Source organism: Homo sapiens, chromosome 12 (genome assembly GCF_000001405.40).
Source record: "Homo sapiens chromosome 12, GRCh38.p14 Primary Assembly".
Classification (NCBI taxonomy): domain Eukaryota; kingdom Metazoa; phylum Chordata; class Mammalia; order Primates; family Hominidae; genus Homo; species Homo sapiens.
The window spans coordinates 101,003,718-101,020,166 of record NC_000012.12 but is presented as its reverse complement, the minus strand read 5'-3'; the positions used below and the strand labels follow the sequence as shown (position 1 = coordinate 101,020,166).

Genomic DNA, 16,449 nt, shown 5'->3' with positions numbered 1-16,449 from the left:
GTTTGTTATACTAACATACTACTTACCAATCTTGTTTTTTCCTTCTTCATATTTTATTCTTTGTAAAATGTGATGCACGATTCTACTTCTTGTGGCATTGTTGAAGAACGTTTCTTTGTTGTGTATGATGAAGCTGCATACATATATTAAAAATACAAGTTGAGAATTAATCGGAGGTGAAGGATCTAATTTTTGTTATAATTTGGTGTTGCTCAGATGCAGATGTCTTCAGTCAGTCATAGACAGGGTGTGTCTGGAACAGCCTGAGGGAGCCAGAGATCACACCAGGATAGTAGGCTCATAGGTATGAGTAGTTTTGGTTTTCAGCATCAACATCGTTCATGCTAGGAAGGAGCTGGAGCTAAACAAAGTTAAGAAACCTAAAAATAAACTAATAGCAAGTCTAGGTCTTGTATCTTGTTTTTTCTCAGTAAGCTCATTATATTAATTCAACTAAAAATTCATTTTGTTTTTCTCTCCTCTTCTCTCCTACCTCAGGCTCTCCCATGGCATAATCAATGGATTTTCAGAAATTTTAAGATATAAAACTGGCTTGGGTGGTGGATATAGGAGTTAGGTAATGAGCTGTGGTCTGGCTCACAGGTGAGGTGAGAGGCCAGTCTCTGGAAATCACCTCTGTCCTTACCTTTTCCATGTTCTTTCGTGAATAGGATCTTTCTTCTAAAGCACACACTTAAGATTGATTTGCCTCCCAGCAAGTGCCCTAGCCAGTCTCTACTTTGTCAAGGGTGCATGTGCAGGTATGTGTGTGTATGTGTGTGTGCGCACACACACACACACGGCTTTCCAGTAGGTGCTTGTACCCTACTAAGAGGTTTTCTAGGTAGCAGATAGAGCTTCCAGGTTTACATAATCCAGCATGAAATGGCCATGTTTCCCCTTTTTACGAATGCAAAAAATGGTAGAATATTAGAGATACTGTATATGTAACTCCTTCATAAATTATAAAGTTTATCAACCCTGCAAACTTTCCTTGGGCACCTCCTATAAGCTGGACATCATGCAAAGGCATATAAATGTAGGCATTTTCCCCAACACTCAGCTCAGAAGTCACCTCCTCCAGCAAGTCTCCCCACCCCTCCAACTACACTTCTGTCCCCCAAAGCATTCAGTTACTCCTTCCTTTGTGCTATTTCTTATTTTGCAAGCACATCAATTTACTGATCATTCCATATTGTCATTTTTTTTTCATTTGTTCGTCAAATGTTTACTGAGGATACTCTTTTAAGGTACAAATTATACAGTGGTAAACAAAACAGATAAAATCCTTGTCCTTGAGAAGCTTACAGTATAGTGGGGAAGCAAGAGCATCAAGGAAATGAATGTGAGTGTATGCCAGAGAAAGGCAAGGTCAACCTCCTTCTGCATGCCTTTCCTTCCATGTAAGACCATGAGCTCATTCAGGACAAAGGGCTGAATCATCACTTCTGTAGCCCAGGGATCCGGTGAGTGGCTGGTACACAGGTATGTGAGGGTCATGGTAATTTATGATGTGGAATTTGCTAAATGTTTTTCTTCAAGGAAATGAATTCTCAGGAGTTGTTCAAATAATGAGAGGAAGAGAAAAAATTGGCCTCGAGAAAGAGTAGTCCAAGCATGGGGTTTGGTTTGGAAACAGGGCTGGAAATGTGACTTTGGGATAACAGATAAAGGAAAGAAAGGCCAGGGAATATGGAGACAAAAAGTAAATCATGAGAACTGATTTACCGAAGTATTTTTCTCTCACTTTTACTTCTCTTGGATTCTCTTACTGAATACCGCTCTTGGAGAAAGGTAATTTGAGTTGGTGGATGAGCGATAAACGCTGTGTGGGTAAATGAGGATGCTGCAGCATTTATCTGACATTTATCTCTGAAAACATTTTACAGCATCAAAGAGGAAGAGGAGAAAACCGAGAGTCTCACTGAATGTGTTTCTTTGTATTTTATCTTCCTCTGCTTTTTCACCTGATTTGAGACAGGCCATTATATTTTAACACCAAGTAAAGATGTCATAAAGAAATAGACAATAAATAAAAAGCACATTTTGCCTCACAATTCTAGATGATAACTGAAAGCTGAGAAGCACAACTATGCTTGACAAGAAAATTGAAGGCCAAAAGCCCATGTCCCTCCTCCATTAAATGGTTTTCTGCTTCCTTCCCTTTTTATAGCATCACATTACATTTTCTGAGCACATGTAAATGTTCTCTATAATAAGCACCACAGACAAGCTTCAAATTTTTGTTTTTCTTTTCCTTACATCTAGGCTGTACCTGGAGCCTGGAGGTTCTGTAGAGGAATACACACACAGGGCATGTGCCAGACACTATTCTAAACAGTCTCAATACATGAACTTATTCAATCCCTATTTCAACCCATAAGGGAAGTAGTACTTATTAGCCACATTTTACAGGTGAAGAATCAGAGAGGTTAAGTGATGCACCCAACGTCACTGAGCTAAAAAAGGGCTGAACCAGCATTTGAACTCAGGCAGTCTGGCTCCAAAGGCTACCCCTGTGGTGACTCTGTTTGCTCGCTTGCCTCTGTCTGCCAGCTACTTCCTGAGGCCTGGAGGCTGAGTCTCCTGGAGGTCAGCTGAGAGTTCCTCTGTCCAGATTGCTCTTGTTTCCAGGTTTTTATTCATTTGTTTCCAAATCTCAGCTCAGGCCATATCTTCCCCAGAGGCCCTGGCTTGACTTCCATGCCCTCACTCTGAAATGCAGTGTGGTGCTTGATATGGTTTAGCTGTGTCCCCACACTCTTCTTGAATCATAGTTCCCATAATCCCCATGTGTCATGGGAGGGACCTGGTGGGAGGTAATCGAATCATGGGGGTGAGTTTTTCCAGTGCTGTTCTTGTGATAGTGAGTAAGTCTCATGAGATCTGATGGTGTTATACAGGGCAGTTCCCCTGCACATGATCTCTCCTGCCTGCCAACACGTAAGATGTGCCTTTGCTCCTCCTTCATCTTCCACCATGATTGCAAGGCCTCCTCAGCCATTTGGAACTGTGAGTCCATTAAACCTCCTTTCCTTTATAAATTACCCAGTCTTGGGTGTGTCTTTATTAGCAGCGTGAGAACAACTAATGTGATGCTATAAAGAGAGAAGGAAGCAAAGAACCACTGATGGAGGAGGAGGAGCGACTTTTAGCTCTGAGTATGCTGAACACTCTGATTTATCTCAATACTCTGCAGTCAGACAGACCTCAGCATATACTCCAGTAGTGCCACCTATGATGTGGTTTTAGGGCTATCCCTCAACTTTTCTGGGTCTTGGTTTCCTCATCTGTGAAATGGGGATAACACTGTAATCACCTTCACAGGGCTATTGTACAATTAAGTGAGATGACACGCAGTGCTGAGCCCACTGGCTGGCATTGAAGATGTTCTCAGAGTTAGCTGTCATCATTGCTGTAGTTTCTATTACATTCCATGAAAGCTGTCCGCCCACATGGCCCACTTCCTTGGGTGAGCTTCTTGAGGGCAGAAACCGGCCATGCTCATCTCTGTATTTCCAGCACAGGTAAAGGGCTTAGCACATGATAAACACTTAAAGTTGGATCAAATGAGCTGACCATCTGAAGAACACTAGCTAATGTTGGTGGCTGATATAGTTTGGATGTTTGTCCCCTCTAAATCTAATTTTGAAATGGAATCCCCAGTGTTAGAGGTGGGGTCTGGTGGGAGGTGTTTGGTTCATGGGGGTGGATCTCTCATGAATGTCTTGGTGTTACGCCCATGGTAATGAGTGAGTTCTCACTCTGGTAGTTTATGTAAGAGCTGGTTGTTTAAAAGAGTGTGGCTCCCCACTTCCCCCTGCCCCACCTTGCCCTTGCTCCCACTCTTGCCATCTGACATGCTTGCTCTCTCTTCACCTTCCACCACAATTGGAAGCTTCCTAAGTCCTCACCAGGAGCAGATTCTGGTGCCATGCTTCCTGTACAGGTTTATATAACTGTGGCCAAAATAGACCTCGTTTCTTTATAAGCTACCCAGTCTCAGGTATTCCTTTATAGCAATGCAAATAACCTAACACAGGGGCTATGAAACTAAATCTCATCTCCTTATACCTTGGCCTCTGCTCTTGCTCTTGCCATCTCTTCTAGCTATCAGCTGAACTACTGCCTCCACACTGCATGTCTAAGGATCTTCCTGCGGGGTGTGGAACACTTTCATTTTCTGGGTCATTCTTTCAAACTGGAGGATTATGAGAAGGAACAGTGATGATTCCCCATATCATGGTTCTCACAGTTAGCCACAGCTTTCTCCAAATGAAGTCTCTCTCTCTCTCTCATACACACACATATCCCCCATCCCCTCATGCACACAATGTAAGCTAAGCAACTCTGGCAAACATGAGGCTTGGGGCTCAGTCTCTGACCAGGGCTTCACATTGGCTTGTAAACTCATATCCACTCCCATGCACTGCTAGGGGGAGAGCAAACATACAAACTCTTTAAGGGCCATTTGGTCAGGTCTATCAAAACTACGCATATATCTTCACTACATACCATCTAATCTAGGGATTTCTTTTTTTAGAAATGTATTCTACAAATATACTTACCCGTGTGCAAAGTGACAGATGTACAACAATGTTCATTATGGCATGGGTTATAATAGCAAAAGCCTGGAAATAACCTAAATTATTAATCAGTGGGGGATAGGATAAGAAAATTATGGTACAACTCTACAGTGGAATATTCTGCACCTGTAAATAGATTAAGGGCCCTTGGTGTAGATCTAAAAAAATCTCCAAGACAGGACAAGGAGAAAAGGTTCAAAACAGTCACACAGCTATTTGTGTCAGAGGAAAATGTGCACATATTAGGAAGTACATGCATATGAATATGTTGATAGGCATATTTGCTTGTGCATGCACAGAATGACTATGGGAGGACACATACACCTCGGAAAACATTGGTTGCCTCTGGGGAGAACTGGGTGGCTGGATAGACAGGAGGAAAACTTCATTGTACATACTTAGGAAATTTTTACCATGTGTAAGTACTATTACACATTTTTTAAAAAACTGCAATTTTTGGCTGGGTGCAGTAGCTGATGCCTGCAATCCCAGCACTTTGGGAGGCAAATGCAGGAGGACCGCTTGAAGCCAGAAGTTCAAGACCAGGGCAACATAGTGAGACCCCATCTCTACAAAAAAAAAAATTAGCTGGGTGTGGTGGTGTGAACCTATAGTCCCAGCTACTCAGGAGGCTGAGGCAGGGCAATCCCTTAGGCCCAGGAGTTAGAGGGTATAGTGAGCTATGAACACAACACTCCAGTCTGGGTGATAGAGTGAGATTCTGCCTCTTAAAAAACATTTGAAAATATTTTTAAAAAGAAAACTTAAAAGGAAAGCACATTTCTGTTCTAGGTTTGCTCTCACATTCCCCCTGAAATTCGGTGAAGAGGGGAATAAACTGCTGAATGGGTGTAGCATCAACTCTGTGATCAAGGCCTATATCCACACATCTCCTTATCCTGCTACTTTGACGGGCTAATGTAATTTGCCCAAAGTCACACAAACAGCAAGTGGCAAGGAGGAATTCAGAAAACATCTGTTTTGCTCCAAATTTTCTCCTGCGTTTGTGAAGGGAACTGTGAGGGGCCCAGGTCTGCCTGTGTGCATGTGTGTGAAGGGCTTTCTGCATATCTCCATCACACCCCATGAGGAAGACCTTGCTGGCCTGCTCATGAAGTAATGGGCAGACCAGGGCCTGAACTTCCCACTGACTCTCCTCTAGGCTCGACCTTTATGCTTTCTAGGGTAGTGAGCAACCTCGTTTTCACCCGGGGTGGTGGAAGATTGAGGTCCCAATATTCCTTTTGCTAGGAAGGGAGAAATGAGAAATAAATACGCTGCGCAATCGGGTTTTAGTTACAGACCTCCTGGAGTTTATTTGCTCTGATTGATAGGTTCTTCCTGTGGCCAACTGTCCACAGTAGTGTTGTAAAATGCTGTGATATGCTGGGTCATTTAACAAGTAAATATTATGTTTGTTCTGTGCAAAGCAATATGTATTGAGGGTGTGTATATATGGGCATGGGCGTTGTATATTTATATATTTTGAGAGGGGAATGCAAAGGTGAAAAAAACCTAGTTTCTCTCCTCAGAGGAACCTACACCTTCATAGATAACATGAGAAACACACAAATATTCAAGGGTGTGAGCTGGGGAAAGGTGCTCATTAATGCTGGATCTAAAATCAGCTTATTATAAAATATGCTAATTTTAAAGCAGGTAACTTTCTTTTTTTCCTAAACTTTCCTCTTAGATCACAGCTTTTAGGATAAGACTACACTTTCTTCACAAATTAATATAACTGAAGGGAACATTAGATTAATCTAGACTCCAGCACTGTTTAATAGAAATTTCTGAGATCATGAAAATGTTCTTTATCTGTGCTATCCAATATGGTACTCATGTAACTATTGAGCACTTGAACTGTGACTAGTAAAACTAAGAAAGTGAATTTTAACTTAGTTTAATTTTAATTGATTAAAAATTAAATTTAAGTAGCTACATGTGGCTGGTGGATACTATATGAACAGCATGGATAAACAATTGCCTAAGTCATGGGTGACACTTTGAGGATGTGGCACACCCACTGCCTCCAGAATGGTATCTTAAAACCCTGCATCTCCCCTTGATTACAATAAGCAGGAGAGTAGAGGAGGGGTTAGCAGTGCCCTACAGGACTATGTGTAGGTTGCCAGAAGACCTGGTTCAAGCCCTGCTCTTCCACTTTAGTTGTGTGTCCTTGGGTAATTCATTGAGTCTCTACTTGTCAGGAAATGAGGGTCCCCATGTCTTAGTTGCCCAAGGATAGGGTTAGATAGTCACAAAGTGAGACTATAAAGTATTGATGAGGCAAGTCATCAAGGCTTGCTGGTAAATGACTGAACTCCCACATTCAACTGCCTGTTTGACATCTCGCTTGATGTCTAAGAAAAAACTCAAACCAAATATTTCCAAAACAGAACTTTTGATCTGGACCCTTATAAAGGAAAAACCTGTTCTTCCCCTAGGCTTTTCCATCTTAAAAAAGGGCACTGCTGGGTCAAATGGTAGTTATGTTTTAAATGCTTGGAGAAATCACCAAACTGTTTTATACAATGGCTGAACTAATTTACATTCCCACCAGCAGTGTATGAGAGTTCCCTTTTCTCCAGATGTACCCTTGAACCTAAAATAAAAGTGGAAAAAAAAGGAACTGAAGTGCACCCAATTTCACAAGTCACAAACTTGAGATGCATCCTTGACCCTCTCTCTTATGCCCAACATCCAATCCATCAAGGTCTCTGGGCTCCTCTTCCCAAATATTATCCTGAATCTGACCCTTTCTCACCCTCCTACTGCAAAGTTGTTTCTAGGACTACTACAATAGCTTCCTAACTGTACTATCTAATTTCACTGTCTCTTTTGTCCATCCTCTACACAGCAACCACAATGATTTTTTAAAAAAAATGAATAAGATCTTATGCTTTTCCAGTTAAAACTCTTCAATGACTTCACCTTTCCACACAGTCCTTCATGGTTCCTGCCCATACCAATGACCTTATCTCCTTTCTTCCCTTTGCTCATTGTAAACAAGCAACATTGAATTTGTTTTCTGACCCTGAACAAACAAACCCAGACTGTTACTGCCCAGGGCTTTTGATCATGCTTTTCTTAGATTCTTGCACAACTTGTTTCTTCCCAACATTTTGTTCTCAAATTAAATGTCACCTCTTCATCATCCTAGCTAAGATAGTCACTCTCCTGCCCCAATAATCTCTCTCTCTCACTCTGTCACTCATTCTCTCTCCTCCATTACCCTGTTTTATTCTCTTATGTTTTACTCCCTAAAATTTTTAAAAATAGAGCTGGGATGAGGTGGGGATGTGTCTACATTTTTGTTGTCTGCCCCTCTCCCCCTACAGACTGCAAGCTCTGTGAGGGCAGGGCTTGGTCTGTCTCATGCTCTACTCTAGGCCCCAAGTAAATAAGTAAATCATGTGATTCCCATAGAGAACCACTGGGTGTTCCAGAAACTGTCAGGTTATATTATAGATAAATTTTAACTTTTTTTGTAATTTGAAGATTCTCAAAATCAGTATCATTTTATAATGATGCTTTGTATGTGGTACTACTTTTGGGGAAGTAAAGGCAAGGAAGATGGTTTTTCCATTTTTTTTTTACATATATTATGAAATTTCTGAGGTGGGTCAAACAAACAAGTATTCTCAAAGGTATGAAAATCTGCATGGTTAAAAACTTCAGGAGGAAGGGGTAACTTTGTCAAGAAGCACTTAACTACCTACAGATGGTTTTGTACAATTATTTTAGAATTATAGTCACATTATTGACCTCTGTGAATCTAAAAATTTAAGGCATGTGGCAAAGTAGGAAACAGAAACAGATAACTAATCAAGGTAGGTTTTTTGACCCTGGAGTGAAGGAGCCTGAAGCATGTGACCAGCTGGGTTTCAGATTAATGTGAACAAGTGACTGCTACAGTCTTCTTGTTGTTCCCCATGTTGAATGGCAGTACCTATTGTAATTATTCTGCCTCTGTTCCATCACCATGTGTTGGAATTGTAGGGAGCAGGTAACTTGTCTTTTTCATTCACAGGTCTCTGGCTCACAAAGAGTGTACACCTGAGGAGTTGTAGCCAAGGGTTTTCATCCTCAACTCACCTGATGCAGAGCATGAGATCTAAGACTGTGAACCTGATGCAATATTGGGATGAGACCCATGGAGATCCTGGAATGGGAATGAGAATATTTTCTATATGGAAAAAATGTGAATAAGTTTCAGCCAGACAGCAGTCTGTGGTAGATTGCAAAAAAAAAAAAAAAAAGAAAAAAGGCCATGATTCCTCCTATGTCTGTATATACACTCCTTTGGGATGTGAATTTCTTGCTCCTTCTATCAAGAGGTAGACTGAGCTGGATTTGTGAATGGCTTTAATCTACAGTATACAGCAGAAGTAATTTCCATGATTTTTTGGCATAGGTTCTGCAGCTTCCATTCTTGCCCACTTGGAATGCTGCCCCAAGGCTGCCAGGGTAAAGAAGCCCAAACGAGCCTCTTTGAAGATGAGCCATGTGGAGACAGAAATGCAGCCAAGAGCTGGCAGCATCCCCCAGCTATGTGAATGACAGAGACCATTTTGGACTGTCCAGCTCATTGAGCAAAGGGACAACTGCAGCCACATGTTGACTCCAGGTGAAAGCAGTGGAAGAACTTCCCAGCTGAATCTAGCACAAATTGCTAAAACAAAAGAATAATAAGCAAATAAAATGTTTAAGTCAGTAAATTTTGTAGTAGATTGTTATGTAGCAATAGATAACCAACATACCAGTCTTTTCTGATGTTTAAAGTTGTGTTATTCCATAATATAATAAGGGAAGGTTAATGCCTTAAAAATAAATATTTCAGGAAACTTTCTTAATTAGACTTTTAAATAGGTATTTCTTTTTTAACAAGGAGAAGCAAAGGTGATACAGTTAACTGTCACTTATATTATGTCCTCAAATTAATGAAAATCTAAGTAGGAACAAAGCAACCAATTAATTTTTTATGTGACAAGGCCTATTTTGAGCGTTTTCTGGGCCTTAGGCAACTGCAGCACAATATCTAACTTCTAATCTTGAGTAGACATTTTATGAGCAAAAAGATGAGAAGATTGTCAGGCCAAATATATAACATTGAAAGTTCTGACTATTTGGTAAAGATTTTAAAGTTTCTTTTTTTAGATCAGGATGACAGGTTACTGAAATGTAAAGGACTGTGAGTCATTTTCCTTATTCAAATGGCCATTTCTAATTGTACTTCATGATATCATCTTCGTTATCTAAGTGTTAAATACAAATTAAGAAACATTTGCTCTTGAGCTTCCAAGTAAAGATGGAAAATTAAACATTTGCATACAATTTTTCTGTCTCTCTCAAAATCCCATGAAAATGATAGTAACATGCATAGTGGGTGTGTATGTTTAAATAACAGTAAGAACACTCATAGAACAAAGATAGCACAAAACAACAGCATCAAAATGTTGGAATGTGCCAAGCAGACAGATCTATGTAATAATAGACTTAGAAAACCAGAAAAAACTGAATGCTAAACCAGTTCTGGGGAAAACCCAAGAACAATAATATTTATACTACGAAATCCCAGAAAATCTTAGAACTGGGGCACACAGTGACCTAAAGAAGTGGGGTGAAGGTCCAGAAAATAACTTGAAGAATTCTCCCAGAGCAAAAATATATAGATTATCAAAAAAAGAGGAAGATAAGGACATTAGAGGATCAGCCCAGGAAGTCCAATAACTGAAAAATAGGAATTCCAGAAAGACAAAAAAGGAATAAATCAGCTAAAACATTCAAGAATTATTCAAGAAAATTTTTCTGAACCGAAAGACAAGACTATACAGGTTGAAAGGGTTCACTGAGCATCCAGTAATATAAGTAAACATAGAACCACATCAAGATACATTCCTATGATATTATAGAACACTGAGGCCAAAGAGACAATTATATAAGGTTCCATAGAGGAGAAAGGTTACGCACAGAGAATTAGGAATTGGAATGTTTTTGAAGTTCTCAGCAGGAATATTGAATATTAATTTTAGAAGTTAAAAGATCAAGAACTTAAAAATTGTGAGAAAAACAGATTTTGGTTTTATACAGAATTCTATACCTAGCCCAACTATCATAATGAGTGCAGTATAATGAACATATACTTCATTGCTTGGGCTGTCATAACAAAGTACCATACCCTGAGTGGCTCAAAAAACAGAAATTTGTTTTCTCACAGTTCTGGAGGCTGAAAGTCCAAGATCAAGCTGTCAGCAGAGTTTTTTCTTCTAAATTTTCTCTCCTTGACTTGTAGATAGCTGTTTTCTCTATATGTCTTCACATGATCTTCTCTGTGTGTATGTCTGTGTTTTAATTTTCTCTTATATAACAGCACCAGTCATAATGGATTAGGGCCCATCCTAATAACTTCATTTTAACATAATTACCTGTTTAAAGACCCTATCACCACCTAAGGCCACATTCTGAGATATTGGGGGTTAGGATATTAACATGTGAATTTCAGAAGGTCACAATTTGACCCATAACAGTATGCATGATCGCAAAAATAATATCATCCACGTAATCTTATTAGGAAGTCACTAGAGAATGCAAAATGAGGGTACAATAAAAAAAGTGTAAGAAATGATACACAGGAAACAGAAGATGCCACAAAAGTGAAAGACAAAGAGAATCCTAGGATATCCTTGGTAAAGGAAGATACCAAGATGATAATTTATAACAGGAGCGGAAGGCAAGAGTTCAGATTGGAACTTGTCAGAAGGCTCCAGAGTAATTTTCTCAGGAAGATGAAATTGATTACGTATGATGCATCTGAACATCTTGAAATTTAGACAATTTAGGTAAACTCTGCCAAATAACTGGCAGAATGTAAGATGGAATTAGTAATAGGTACATAGAAAATTTTGAAAATTAAAAATCAAGAGAATGAGTTACTCCAGTTCAAGCAAAAATAGCGCAAAAAAGGAAAATGATTCATATTGTACTATATGACCTAGCTCTGGGTAGCATTTGTATAGTCATTATGTAAATAGTGATCTACATTATGATAATGTAATTAAATTGTAATATAACTACGTTGAAAGGATAAGAATAGGTATCTACTGTAGTAAGAATTGTAGGGAAGAAACAAACAGCAAATTCTTATTCTCTATGGGGGAAGTAATAGATTCTGCTATAACTGAAAAACAGCAAAGTAATAATAAAATAGTTTATTTAGATATGAGGCATTAATTGCCAAAATAAACAGGTAAAAGAGTTGAAAGGGGCTGCTTCTTGGGAGGGGCAAATATAAAGGGTTGAAGCATGGGATTGCTGTTTTTCAAAACAAACCTTGTAGGGCTATTTAAAATGTATACATGTCTAATTTTAATTTAATTTATAAGGTGGTAGGAAAGGAAGGAAGGAAGGAACCCTTTGGAATAACATATTTGTCAAAGATAACTAACATTTTAAAAAATTGAATTATTTTCAAAAATAAAACATCCACATTGAAATAAAGTCAGAATCTTCACAATGATTCTTATTGCTTTTAGGGCTCAGTATTTTATGCACTAGATTAGACTGACAAATACTGATGTTCCAGCTTGAAGGTAGACTTTTGAGGGAAGTCGCCTCATAGATAGAATTTACCTTTTGTGAGCCCAAGATATTGTAAACATGTGGGCAGCTCGCAATATTTTTTTTTAGAAACTCAAGCTGAGTGTGCTGGCACACACTTGTAGTCCTAGCTACCTGGGAGGCTGAGATGGGAGGACTGCTTGAGCCCAGGATTTCAAGGCTGCAGTAAGCTATGATCACGCAGCTGTGCTCCAGCCCGTGTGACAGAGCAAGACCTTATCTCCAAATGAAACAAAAACAAAACTCTGAGTTCTGGGTCACTCTTTTCCCCCCCAAATAATATAGCTAGGTTATATCTTATTGGTTGGAATGACAACATCTTGAAGGAATACAATAATATCTACTTTGTTGGTTAAAGAAAAAACAAACCTGGGTTAGAATCTTGGTTCTGCCAAGCACTAACTGTTTGAATTTAGAAAAGTAACATCTCTAAGCCTTAGAATTCTTATCTTTCAAATGGGGACAACCATAACACCCACTTCAGAGGATGTTTGAGGATTAAGAGATACTGCATGCAGTGTGGTTACATACACATGATGCTCATAAATGGTAGTTTCATGATTTTTATTATCATCTATTTGTCACTTAAAAATTTTCATTTAAATGTTTTTGAGATGGAGTCTTACTCTCTCCCCCAGGCTGGAGGGCCGTGGTGCAATCTCCGCTCACTGCAACCTCTGCCTCTCGGATTTAAGCAATTCTGCTTCAGTCTCCCAAGTAGCTAGGCCTACAGGCGCATGCCATCACACCCAGCTAATTTTTGTATTTTTAGTAGAGACAGGGTTTCGCCACGTTGGCCAGGCTGCTCTCGAACTCTTGACCTCAAGTGATACACCCACCTCGGCCTCCTAAAGTGCTGGGATTACAGTCATGAACCATGGTGCCTGGCCCACTATTTGTCACTTTTTATAAGATTACTGACTCTCATGGTTCAAACAGGCCCCCAGTGTATAAGTTCCTGCTATTTTGAAATAAGATCTTGTGAACATCTTTTTCTTTTAATAAAATATGTTTAAACATACAAAAATGCACTGGTGAACGACATCAAACACCTATATACCCACTAACAAACTTAAGAATCAAAAGTTTGCAAATATAATTGAAGTTTCTCTGTGTCCTCCTTTTTAATTGTATTCTCCTCCCCTAGAGGTAACCACTATCAGGAATGTTTTATAATCCACAACATGCAGGTATTCCTAAAAATACAGTATTGCATATTTTAGAACTTTATAGAAATGGTATCATGCTATAATTACTCTCCTGCAAGTTGCTTTGCTTGCTCAGCATTGAGGTTCATGATGTTCATACAAGGAGCTCTAGTCCATCATGTTCCCTGCTGCTCAGAAGTCTACTGTATGGGACAGTACAGTTTACTGGCTCATTGTCTTGCTAGTGGATACTTAGGCTATTTATAAAGTTTTATTATTATAAACAATGCTCTAATGAACGTTCTGCAAAATGCACATGTGCAAGTGTTTTGAGGAAGTACCTACTTTAGGAAGAGCATTACTAGGACTAAGGGTGCATGTCCAATAGGACAGGTCTTAAGAAAGAAGCAATAGTCAAATTTTGGGGTCTTATTCACCCATGTGTCACAACATCCTAATAAGACAAAATGGTGAGGTGTGTATTTGACAGTAATGATGATTAGAATGCCAAAACTTGGGAATGATTAAAAAAATAAATCAGAATGGATTTAAGGTACCTTTATAATAGGATCATTTTACTCCCAGGTATTCTAACGTGCTTTCTGCAGGAACAGGAAAACATGAGGGAGCATGTTGCATAAGTAAAGTATCACAGTAGAAAAAGGCTGGGGAATAGCCTTTTTCTTTTTATTTATTGGTTGCATCAATAAATATTTTAAAGAGTCAGTTATCTAACAAAAGGATATGCATTAATTGAGCCAGAGGTTGAAAACCTATTGGTAAGGCACAGTAGGCCAAACAGTACCTTTGATATTGGCTAGGTATACACAACCAAGAGAAATGGAGAGGTGGATAGCAATCTGGATAATTCTGGAAGAAGAGGAGGAGGCAGGAAGAGGAAATGATAGGGGAAAAGAAAGGAGAAAGGATGCTATAGAAAAGAGAAGAAAAAAGTAAGAGAAAAAAGTAATATCCTAGAATTGGGAAAACTTCCCACCAATCTTAAACTATCTACCTTTAAGACTGGATCATGAAAATCAGCATTTATAGAATTCACATATACTAAAATTATCTATTTATATATAAGGTTCCATCAAAATTATCAACAAAAATAAAATACCTTTATCGAACATATACCATAAGCACTGATATACTGTGTTGTTAATTTTCACAATATTATATGGCTATTTTTTATTATTTCCAATTTACAGATGAAGAGGTTGAAGCTCAGAATCACATACCTTACAAGTTACAGAGCTGGGATTGGGCACCCAGGCCCTGTGTTTCCAACCAGAGCTTGAGTGAGCTCAACCATTAATCCTTAAGGTCAGAAAATGATTCATTCATCTTTGTCCAGCTCTACACAGTTCTTGCCACAGAACTGGTACTTGATGCAGACTCAACTGAGATAGACACTCAAAAATGAAAACAATGCAATATTCAAATTTATTAGAGATTAGTTTTATTTGCTATTCAAAAGTGAGCCAGAATAAAGAGGAAATCATTTTTTTTAATCTATAAAACAAGTCTGGAAATATTTCCTAATTAATCCTCAGACCAGAAAAATCCAATTTAGAATAAGCTAAGCTCTCAGCGTTCCACTAATTAGGGCACTACTGTAATTCAGTCAATAGTAAGGTTTTGCTTGAATTACTTAGGCAATTGTCCCTGCATAAGTTTATTATTCAGTGACTCAACCATGGCTCCCTCCATCTTAGTCTGATCTTAGTCATGGGTCTCATTTTTATATGAGCTGAGTTGTTCTGAATGTTGACCAAATGGACAGATCCATCTCTGTCCCTGCTGTTCATTTATATTGCTGGGAGCAGCAAAGTCCTAGAAACTCTGCCAAGCATCTGCAAAATCTGGAAGTTGGTAAAATTTATCTTCCATGATCCCCCTGTTTTCATTGCTCTTTTTTGGCCCTCCACCATCTTTGTGGCATTCTCTATCTGCCCCTGCTACGGCCAAAATACCTCATCTGTATCTCTTGCTTCCTCTTCTTATTTTCAATAAACTATTCATAATGGGGTGTCAATAAAGAAGGACATTAAAATTTTCATCTTTCCAAGGGACATTTTTATTTTAATTGAGGATGACTTTAGCCAAAGGATTAAAGTTCAAATTGTAAAATTCCAGGTATTAGGGAGTGTGCTGTCTATTAAGTTATCTCTGATTTCCCCTTCCTTACTCTTTTCTATAATACAATGCCAGAATAGAGACTCTGCAAACTACATTTCTGCATTGCTGTCTGTCTCTCTGATATGCTCTGTCAGTACAGGGCATGAGAGGGAGACTGGAAGGGAGAACAGGTGAAAGGACCTTGGTCCTTCTTGTTTGCCTGCCTGTTCCTGTCAGCAATGATCCTCTGACCTCACAATGGCAGCTGGTTCCAGTTTCCAGCTGAAAAGCAACACTCCCCAAACTAGGCTCACTCCGTTGCCCCATATCCTTGAGGGCCCAGCACCACAAGGGCAGAATCTCCTCCCCAGGAGTCCGAGGCTCAGCTCCACAGGGCCTCTCTGAGCATCTTGGTTCCGATAACCCCAACCTCTTCATTTTGCTCCCCCAACTCTAGAGGCAGTAGCTGCTTCACTTCCTGCAGTTATCATCTGCTTGACTTCAGTGTTTCCTTTGCGACACTATAGTTCTTCACTTCCCCCACAGTATCCTTTTTTTAAAAAAATAACTGCCAGGTTTCAGTTTTCCTGAATGGAACCTAAGTAGTATAGGGATCTAGAGAAAGAAACATTCTTTGGAGAGGAGACCTCCTTCTCTGAGAAACTACACACCACAGAAGCAGCCATCTACCTATCCTGCTTGGTAATCTGATAGGAATATCACCCAAGTATAAAGATAGATTTTTGATTTGGAATTTTCAAATATTCCAGTTTCAAGTGTGATTTCTACCCTACAGAGATCTCTCTTCTGCCCAGGTCTTTGTTAACTTGCATGGAAAATTCCTTTTCTAAAAATATGCTAGGTGTTCAGAACAAAACATTTACCATTTCCTTCTAATGAGAATATTCAAAAACTTCTCTTCTAGATATTTTGAAATATACAATACATGATTGTTAATTCTAGTCATCCTACTA

General features: G+C 39.2%; 1 protein-coding gene across 17 annotated transcripts in view, besides 1 other annotated feature; it reads right to left on the bottom strand.

Annotated features, from left to right (window-relative positions):
* Positions 1-16,449, bottom strand: part of ANO4 (anoctamin 4) — a 411,381-nt gene that overhangs the window by 108,475 nt on the left and 286,457 nt on the right. For all 17 annotated transcript variants that reach the window (XM_011537912.3, XM_011537911.3, XM_047428302.1 and 14 more), the window contains one exon: positions 27-133. In XM_011537912.3, coding sequence (XP_011536214.2) covers positions 27-133 — 107 coding nt within the window. The remainder of the gene's footprint in view (positions 1-26; positions 134-16,449) is intronic.
* Positions 942-2,141: an enhancer, noted in NCBI's record as "P300/CBP strongly-dependent group 1 enhancer chr12:101411804-101413003 (GRCh37/hg19 assembly coordinates)". NCBI's record gives its function as "activates an origin of replication core promoter dependent on BRD2, BRD4, P300/CBP, MED14 and CDK7 cofactors, with strong dependence on P300/CBP, by STARR-seq in HCT116 cells {active_cell/tissue: HCT116}" and the evidence as "EXISTENCE:reporter gene assay evidence [ECO:0000049][PMID:35650434]".